Source organism: Homo sapiens, chromosome 5 (genome assembly GCF_000001405.40).
Source record: "Homo sapiens chromosome 5, GRCh38.p14 Primary Assembly".
Taxonomy (NCBI): domain Eukaryota; kingdom Metazoa; phylum Chordata; class Mammalia; order Primates; family Hominidae; genus Homo; species Homo sapiens.
In genome coordinates, this window is record NC_000005.10 from 149,677,825 (window position 1) to 149,688,136 (window position 10,312).

Below are 10,312 nucleotides of genomic sequence, written 5' to 3' on the forward strand. Positions count from 1 at the left end.
CAGTACAGTTCCTGAGCACCAGGAGCAGGGCAGTCTGGCATTGGTCGCCAAGGGGAAGCGACCTCTCTGTGGCCTGGGGAGTTGCTGTTGTTGCAAGACTGAGAACTCAGTGCTCCCGTTCCTGGGGGCTTCCTCTTACAAACTTTCGATCTTGATGTTGGTGGGTGTGTTCCTGCCTACTCCACTCCCCAGGCCCCAGTGCCCGGGAGCTTGACCAGCATGGGCACTGCCAGACTGTGAAACAGGGGATTTCCTTCAGGGCATTTCTGCAGTCACCACAGTTGAATCTCTCTCTTTGTTTACTTCTTATTGCCAGTTGTCACCTACTCCTGGAAGGTAAGCTGAATGAGGACAGAGCCTTGTTCTCACTGGTGTGCCCAACACCTTTTGCAGTGTCTTGTGCTTAATAAGGATGGTTGAAGAAACAAATGAATGGGAAGGACCAGAATGTAATCTTAACGTTCAGCTTCCTCACAAGGCCCCAGACAGACTCCTTAGAGCATGATTGCAAAATATGGAATTGGGAGTGAGTTGGAAATTGGCTTTTTCTTGCCCCTGTGACCTCTTAATCTAAAAAAAGTCTTAAGGAATGAATCCTTTTAAAATGAAAGTTTAAGGCATTTAAAATTGCTCTGAGTTCAAAAATCTAAAGCAATATTTAAGGAGCATTGGTATGCTTTCATTAGTTACCTAAGTCACAAAAATGTTCCCTTTGGGGCTGGATCCGGGGAACGAGAGGGTTCCACATGGTTCCATGGGACAGCGCAGCTGGAGGAGGGTGGTTTGCTCCAGTTCACTCTGGAGAGGTAACATTAGGGCTGACCAGTGCCTAATGTCCACCCTAGCTCACCACCACTTTGCTTTCAACGGGGACACAAATCCTGATTCTTCCCTTAGTAGCCATGGGACATTAGGCAAGTCACATCACTTCCTCCAATGGGGATAATAATGGTACCTATGTTATGAGGAACTGGGGAACTGTTTTAAGAATTAAATAAATGCGTGCATGGAAAGTCCTTCAAACAGTATCGTCCATAGTAGGTGCTCAAAAAATATCAGCTTTAATCATTATTTCTTCCATTTTTCCTTTCTGTAATATAATGAGACGAATTCCAAGAATATAAAAGCATTGCAAATTATTTTAAGGGAAAATAGGATTTATGGTCTCTAACAAATAAAGTGTACATTTAGAAGGGTGACGTAAATTCCAAGAGACAAATGTTGTTATCAGTGAGTTGGGGATTTTCCCTCCTATAGTTTCAGCAACTTTCCTAAAGATGTATGATCTCTGTTTAAACCCCAAGCGCTCAAAATGTTAGAGGCTTTACTGAAGTCAAGCGTGGGTGACCTCTGCTTTTAATCAACAGGCAAACTGAAGAGACTCCCTAAAATTTAATAGCTATAGCTCCATTTGTTTTTTTTAAATCACCAAATTAAAAGTAAACCACAGATTTATAATTATTGCCTGAAGTATTACACTTTGAAATGTAATATACTGATTATGATAACTTGCAGAGAAAATCAACTTATACATAATGGATTTTTATGTCCCTAAATTACTGAAATTATTTTTCACCTAAAAAGAGATTGCACATAGTTTAATTTTCCCTTAAATTTTCATTCACCGCACCCCATCTCTTCCAAATGCAACAGAATCTTTTTCCCCAAGGTGTCAATATTAGAGGGAATCATAATTTCTACTCTGGAACCCTTCCCTCTTCCTTGGAATTTGCTTCCCATGACTGCACACACTCAGGCCCCTCTTCTCTCTCGTAAATTCAGCTCCCAGCTGAAGAAACCAAAATACCAGGACGCAAGGACAGGGATGGTCTGTTCTGAGGATCTTCAGGGAATGAGCTATACCCATCTTCCTGTCAAAGGCATTTCCCAATTATTCTCCTGAAAGACCAAGGCAGTCTCCCTTCTGGGAAGAAGGGGAGAGGGTGTGGATACACATGCCTCACCCCCTGCCGCCTGTTAACATGTAGCTGAATTCTAGAGTCGTAACTTGATGTCCTGCAGTGTTAATTCCCATTTTACTGATGAGGAAAGGGTAGGTGGCTGTAGGGTGACATTGTATAGGCCATTTCTTCAACAGGATTTTGCTCGGTTCTGTTTTGAGCACCTGCGGTGGACCAGGCCCTGCTTTAGGTGCTGTCCACACAATGATGAGCAAGACAGTTCTACATCTCCCTGGAGCCTGAATATCTTTATCGGTATAGTGGGGACAAAAATCCCACAACAATGACTTGGCCCTTCTCAAGGTGTTGTGTGGAGATCAGCTGAGCTAATGGAGGAGAAAGTGCTTTGTAACATATTAAGGCATGATACCAACATGAAGAATGATCAGGTATAGAGTGAAAGTAGATGTTAAAAAAGAAGGCTTGTTTTTCTGCACTCTTTATTAAATGATAACAATAACAACCACTCATTGTGCACCTACTGTTTGCCAGCCATTTTATGCACATTCTTCCAAGACCTCACAGCAACCCCCAAGAGAGCTGTATGATCTCTTGCAGGGGCCAGGGCAGCTTGCCCTAGGTCACGCGGCTCGTGTGTCTTGGAGCCAGGATTTCAGCCAGCACGACCTGCCCATTTCCCTTTTGGCAGACTCTCATGTAGGCTGTGGGGCAGGGCCTAGGTATCCTGGAGAGAAGGACCAAGGAAAGGCTGAAGGTAGAATGGAAGAGGAAGGAAGAATAAATGCATCTCCTTCAGGATCACAGAGGCAAAGATGAGCCCTGGGGGTGCCAGGGAACTTCTCAGGAAACAGGCAGTCAGGGACAATGACTTAAGGGTTTGGTAAGAGTTTCTAAACCTTTGTAACTTCCTCTTATTGGTTCTTCCATTATTCAGGCCTTCTGCCTATGGGAAGAAGCAATGAAACACAGCCTCTGTCTACCCATATGTATTAAGTGCCTACTATAGTGCCAGGCAGGCAAAAGGAGATGGGCTGGGGAGATGTCTTTTCAGAGGCAGGAGGAAGGGAAGTGTTGAGGAGTCCTGTGATGCACCCACTGTGGCTGAGAATGAGAACTCCAGAGGACTGAGAGCATGGGGGTGGCTCAAAAGAGGAACGGAAAGCCCATGAGTCTCTAGGGCCTTCAGAGAAGAAGAAAAGGGGAACAGGGAGGCATAAGCCCAACCTGGTCCTGAGCTGGGTGGGCCAAGAAGGGCGAGGACTTGGCCCTGACCCTGCCACAGGCTGTCACAGGGTTGAAATTGGGCTTGGGCTGGGCTATGTCCTCCTTGGCCCTCCAAGCCCTGAAGTTCCTCTTCCTCCTCCCTCCTCCCTCCCCTGCTCCACAAGCACCCACTCTTGCATTCTTGGGGAATCAAAGGCTAAAAATAAACAGTTGCCACCAGACTCTGGGCCCAGGGGGGAATGGGTTCCACAGGAGTCCTGTGGACAGTGGGTTGAGGCTGGGGCGAGGGGACGGAAGGTGGGGGGACAGCTAAAGGTCTTAGGACTCCCCCAAGTGGTGATGCAAATAGTCCCCCCACCCCCCACCCTGGCTCTGGAAGAGCCAAGCCTTCTAGCCTTCAACTCCATGACCTTCTACAGCTAGGGCTATTTGGATCCTGGGCAATGTCACTGTGCCTGCTGGAGAGATAGAGCATGTGGCAAAAAATAGCTTCACCTCCTTGCAGTATTCCTACCCATAACTGGACTCAGAGAGTCTTTATCAGTCCAAAGGCATTCTCCCAGTGGAGCAAAGGTGCTTTTCTGGGAAGGCAGAACCCGTGACTCCTCAGCCCAGAGAATACTTAGTGGGGTTCTCCTTACCGAGAGCATCGCTGGAATCCTTTGGAAGAGAGTCCAGTTTTTGGGGTGGAAGGCGGGGTGGGGAGTGGGAGCCGATGTCAACTAGCAGCACACATCTGTCATCTAAGAAATCTTCTTGGGTCTTAGCTGTCCTCCACTCTTCTGTCTGTGTCACTAACAAACACAAGTCCACTTCCAAAACTTACTTGATGGATTCATGGAATGTTCCAATCGAGTAATTGCCCAGACTTTTGTCTCTAGGAATCCAGGGGCTGGGAGACCCTCCCTGGCTCTGTGTTAACTCCATATTTAGCCATAAAGAGACTGCACCTCCAGGGTCAAGGACCCTGGTGCCTCTGAAAATATTAATAAGAACAATAATAACAACACTAGCTACCATGCATGGAGCACTGCTGATGTACCAGGCATTGTGGTCATGACTTTATGTGGATTATCTCCCTTAATCCTCACAACAACGCATGTTATAGTTTCATACCCATTTTACAGGTGGGAAAAATGAGACCTGGGGAGATTAAGTTGCTGCCATTTGCACACACATAGTCAGTGATGGAGCCCAGATGAGATGGTTTATAACAGTCTGACTCCAGATCCCATACTCTGAGCCTCTACGGAAAATGTTCTGTTTCAGATGAAGGACCCACCAGGGAACAGGAAAGAAAGGCTCAAGGCCAGTGGCAAGAGTCCCCAGAACATTTCCCTGGAGAACTTTCACTGTGCCCTGTCCACTGCTGTGTCCCCACAATTGCATTCTGCAATCCCACTAGCAATGGCTTGGTCAGAGGTCGAGCCACCCTGACCTCTCGGGCCCTTGCATACGCAGTTCCATCTGTCTCAAATGCCCTTCCCTCTGCGCTGAACTTGGCCAACTCCTGCCCAGATTAATAGCTCTTTCCTCAGAGAAGCCTGACCTGGCCAGATTCAGTCTCACCACGCCATGTAACTCTGTCTTACAGGCTCTAGCACAGTTGTTATGGAAATGTGTGTTAGAATTTATGGTATCTGTCTCTGAAAGGAATGTAAGCAGGAACCGTGTCTATCTTGTTCACCGAGATATTCCTGCAACTTAGCCCAGTGCCTGGCACATAGTAAGTGTTCAGTAAGTACTTTTGAAGGAAGGAAGGAAGGAAGGAACAAATGAATGAATGATTTGTCAAACGTTGACTGGATGATTGAACCAGTGATCTCAAATGCATTTGGCTGATGGGATGTAGCAGCCGTTGTGCAGAGCAGGAGGGAGGCTGAGGGGAAGATGCTACCGTGAGAGACAGTGCCTCCCTGGGGGCGGTGACAGAGAGAGAGAGGAAGGAACTGCATGGCCTGTGATGAACTAGATTACCCCAAGACTCCATCCAACCTTGAAATGCTGTTACTTGATGTGAGGATGGGCTGGCGTCCCAGATGTCAACCCTTTAAGGTCATGGTCCCCCAGGCCCTCCTCGTTTACCTGAAGAATCCATTGGAGTAAATCCGACCCTATGAGTTCTAAACCTTGTGAGGAAAGAGCTGCATAAAATTGCTTTGAAATGGTCATGGTGGAAGCTCCTCCAAAGCAGCTCATTCTGGAGGGTGGGATTCCTGAGGGCGTTTGTTTCTACATCACATGTTTCTTTTATGATTTCTCCCTCCCTTAACTTCTTCCCCCCAAAAAAATTACCTTTGTATTAAGAGTAACAAAGCCAGCCGGGCATGGTGGCTCACGCCTGTAATCCCAGCACTTTTGGGAGGCCAAGGCGGGCAGATCACAAGGTCAGGAGTTTGAGACCAGCCTGACCATGGTGAAACCCCGTCTCTACTAAAAATACAAAAATTAGCCAGGTGTGGTGGCTCACGCCTGTAATTGCAGCCATATGGGAGGCTGAGTCAGGAGAATCACTTGAGCCTGGGAGGCAGAGGTTGCAGTGAGCCGAGATCGTGCATTGCGCCACTGCACTCCAGCCTGCGTGACAGAGCGACACTCCATCTCAAAAAAAAAAAAAAAAGTAACAAAGCCAAGTTATTAAGGACGTCTTCAAATATTTGGGGGGTAGAAGTGCCTATTCTTTAAGGAGTTTCTGGTTGCAGAGAATGAGGAAAAGGGAGGAAAGAGAGGCTGGGAGTGAGTGGCTGAGTCGGAATGACAATACCACTGATGACTTGTTTTTCTTATTTTGACAATTAACATGCAGTAAAATTGACTTGTGTGTGTGTTACATTTTTTTTTTTTTTTTTTTGAAGAGCCTTGCTGCAGTGGTGCAATCTTAGCTCAGTGCAAACTTCGCCTCCTGGGCTCAAGCAATCCTCCACCTCAGCCTCCCGAGTAGCTGAGATTACAGGTGATTGCCACCATGCCCAGGTAATTTTTGTACTTTTTGTAGAGATAGGGTCTCACTATGTTGCCCAGGCTGGTCTCAAACTCCTGGGCTCAAGTGATCCACCCACCTTGGCCTCACAAAGCCTGGGATTAGAGGTGTGAGCTGCTGTGCCCGGCCAGTTCTACAAATGTTAACGTATATGTAGATTTGTGTAACCACCATTGCAATTAGGATATAAATCAGTTCCATCTGTCCAAAAAACTACCTCGAATTGCCCTTGATAGTCACGCCCTTCTCCCAGCCCTGACTCCTGGCAACCGCTGGTCTGCTCTTCATCGCCCTAGCTTTGTCTTTCAAGAATGCTGTGTAAATGGAATCATACAACACATAACCTTTTGAGACTGGCTTCTTTCACTCAGTTGTTCCATGTATCAGTGGTGAGTACCATTTTACTGCTGAGTAGGTTTCTGGTGGTGGTCTAGTAGACAAACCACAGTTTACTTACCCATTGAGCAACATTTGAGTTGCTTCTAATCTTTGGTGATTGTGAATAGAGCTGCTATAAACATTTGTGTACACGTTTTGGTGTGCATGTAAGTTTTCATTCCTCTAGGGAAATTACCTAAGAATGAGATGGCTGAATTATATGTTAAATAAAGGTTTCACTTTATAAGAAACTCCCGAACTGTTTTCAGGGAGGCTGCAGCATTCTGCAATCCCACTAGCAATGTATGAGGGTTGCGGTCAGTCTTCATCCTGCCAGCATTTGTTGTCAGGGTTTTTGGGGTTTTTTTTTTGTTTGTTTCTTTTTAAAGCCATTCTGATAGGTACACAGTGGTATCTCATCCGGGTTTTGTTTTACCTTTCCCTAATGGCTAATGCTGTGGAATATCTTATCATGTACTTATTTGTATCCTCTCTGGTGAGCTCTCTGATCAAGTCTTTGGGCCATTTCTTAGTTGGGTTGTTTCATTTCTTACATTGAGTTTTGAGGGTTCTTTTTATGTTCCGGATGCTAGTCTTTCGTGAGATATGTGATTTGCAAATATTTTTCCCCAGACTATAACTTGTCTGTTCTTACTCTCAGTGGTCTTTGTCATAGAGCAAACATTTCTAGTTTTGATGAAGAAAATTTTAATCAATTTTTAAATTTCATAGATGATACTTTTAGTGTTACATATAAGAACTCTTTGCCTCATATTATCATTTTTGATCACTTTCTTTGTGCCAGCCCACATTGCATAATTATTTAATCTTTACTACAATCCTATATTGTTAATGCTATTCTTATATAACCTCATAATACAGATGAGGAAACTGAGGCACAGAGAGCTTAATAATTTTCCTGGGACTCACACAGCATTCACTGGCAGAGCTGGGATTCAACTGCACGTCAGAGCCCACCCTTGTCACCACTAGAATCAGGTTGACACCCTGCCCATAGAAACCCTTACTGGAAAGCCAGCAGGGAAAGGAACATTTGCTGCTTCTTGTCATTTGGGTCTCAGCTTAAATGTCACCTCCACAGGGAGATCGTCCCTGGCTACCCCATCTAAAATAGGCCCTCTCTTCCCCTCCCCTCCGTTTTCACCTCTCCCCTCTTCCCCTCTTTCTTTCCCTTCTTAACTGAGAATGAGTCTCTCCATGGCTCTTTTCATTACCTGCAATTTGTTAGTTTTCTTCTACAACTTGTGTTCTTCTACATAATTTCTTCCTTCCCCACTTAAGGTCAGCTGAGTGAGAGCAAGGACCTTATCTTTCACCTCTTTATCTCCAGCTTCTGTGCCTGGCACAGAGTGAGTGGTCAGCAAATATTTGCTAGTGCTGTTAGTGGATGGATAAATGAATAGATGAATGGATGGATAAGTTGCCTCAGTTGGGGAAATTTGGCTTCTTGAGCAGGAAGAAGCTGCCACCTAGGAAATAATCAGGTCCTAGCTGGAAAGAATGGAAAGGCATCTTCCATATGAACATATTTGTTTGTGTATATAAACATTATGTACGACATTTGTGTTTAAAAAATAGAATATTGTAATACATGTCTATTCTAATATATGCATAGTCTATCTCTGGAAGGATACAAAAGAAGTTGGTGTACTGATTGCCTTCTCAGGGTAGAGCTGGACTAGGATATTGGCTACAATATTAGGATGAGAATGAGACTCACTTTTCACTATATAACCTTTTATTCATCTTGCTACCCTGGGCATGTATTGCATATTCAGAGCTTATATTTCTTTTAACAGTAATAATGATATAAGATTTCTTTCCCTGGGAGGCTGGCACCGGAGCAAGCCAAGAGGTTAATCAGATGAAGTTGTTTAGAAGACAATTAACACCTCTCCAACCAGCAGCTTCTTTGTAGGAACTAAGGCAAGGTCAATCTTAATGCAGAAAAGGTTTTGTAAGGCTAAATGGAGAGGCAACATTTATTAAGTCATTACTAATGAGCAATGCTTATTAATATTGGAATATAATACATGCTTATTGCAACAATTCAAACTTAAAGATGTATCTGAAGCAAAACTAACACCTTCCAATCCAACTCCTTTGACACATTGTAATTAGAAATTTGATTTTCCTACTTTTATTTGATAAAGTATTCAGTGTCATTTGGGTATATTTATTGTCTGTTTTCTATAAAAATGGTATCAAACCATAGACATTATTCTTTTCTGTTTGTTTTTTGTTTTTTGAGACAAGACCTCTCTCTGTTGTCTGGGCTGGAGTGCAATGGCACAATCAGAACTCGCTGCAGCCTCTATCTCCCGAGCTCAGGTGATCCTCACCTCAGCCTCCCAAGTAGCTAAGACTACAAAGGCACGCCACCACCATGACCAGCTAATTTTTTCTAATTTAAACGATTTTTTTTCAGAGGCAAGGTCTCACTTTGTTGCCCAGGCTTGTCTCGAACTGCTGGGCTCAAGGGATCCTCCCTGCTTGGCCTCCCAAAATGTTGGGATGACAGGAGTGAGCCACTGCACCTGGCCGACACTATTCTTTAACATCTTTCTTTCACTCCACACATTTTGGAGATAATTTTAAGGTGATACACATGGAGCTACTTCATTTGTTTTAAGAGTTACATAATGGCGGGGCACGGTGGCTCACGCTTGTAATCCCAGCACTTTGGGAGGCCGAGGCGGGTGGATCACAAGGTCAGGAGATCAAGACCATCCTGGCTAACACGATGAAATCCCGTCTCTACTAAAAATACAAAAAATTAGCCGGGCGTTGTGGTGGGCGCCTGTAGTCCCAACTACTTGGGAGGCTGAGGCAGGAGAATGGCGTGAACCTGGGAGGTGGAGCTTGCAGTGAGTGGAGATTCCGCCACTGCACTCCAGCCTGGGTGACAGAGCGAGACTCTGTCTCAAAAAAAAAGAGTTGCATAATGTGCAATTGTATTGATGGGAGCAGGATGTTTCTAGTTTCTTGTTGTTACAAAGATGTTGCAATGAATATTCTTGTATCTAGCTAGCTAGGGAGCTTATGTGTTATTACTTTCATTTCTGAAAGTTGTCACATATTTTTTGTCATAATATTTTGGAAAAATTTTTCTACAAGGCTGTAATTTTTTACAACCAACGATGGATATGATAGAGTTGGTTTTCTTACTCTGCCATCAGCTATAAACGTTACCAATCTTTTTGTTTCTGCCAATATTAGAAGACATATGGGAACTCATTATTTAATTTTTATTTCCCTACTTATACATATGCTTATTGGCCATTTTCATTTCCTCTTCTGTATACTGTTCACATTCTTTGCCAAGTTTTCCGTCGGGTTATTCATTTTTCCCCCCAGTTAATTTGTAGGAGTGTGTTCATGCCGGGGTAGTAAGCCTTTGTCATATGAAGTCTTAATGTTTTATCCTGGACTCTCATTTATCTTTTGACCTTGTTTGTGGTGTCTTCTGTTAAACAGAAGTTTAAAATTTTTATGCAATCAGATCTCTCTATTTTTTCCTTTATGGCTATTAATAACCACGGATGTTTGTGTAACCCGGTGGTTTTCATACTGTGTTTCCTAAACTTAGGGTTTCATGGGGATGAATGGATGTCAAGAGGGTGGGGGTGAATGGAGCTGCTGGCTGTCAGGAACTCACCATTTCCCCTTCCTCTATTTTTTATTGATCCTTTACATGCTACCGCTAATACTTTAGTGGAGGAGAACCTGGGCTCTGGAGCCAGAATTCTTGGGCAAGGCACCTAACCTTTCTGGGCTTAGTTTCTTA

The 10,312-nt window shown here is 44.2% G+C and overlaps 2 annotated features.

Annotated features, from left to right (window-relative positions):
* Nucleotides 2,530–2,849: an enhancer, noted in NCBI's record as "active region_23383". NCBI's record gives its function as "activates an Ori minimal core promoter by ATAC-STARR-seq in GM12878 lymphoblastoid cells {active_cell/tissue: GM12878}" and the evidence as "EXISTENCE:reporter gene assay evidence [ECO:0000049][PMID:35858748]".
* Nucleotides 2,940–2,989: an enhancer, noted in NCBI's record as "active region_23384". NCBI's record gives its function as "activates an Ori minimal core promoter by ATAC-STARR-seq in GM12878 lymphoblastoid cells {active_cell/tissue: GM12878}" and the evidence as "EXISTENCE:reporter gene assay evidence [ECO:0000049][PMID:35858748]".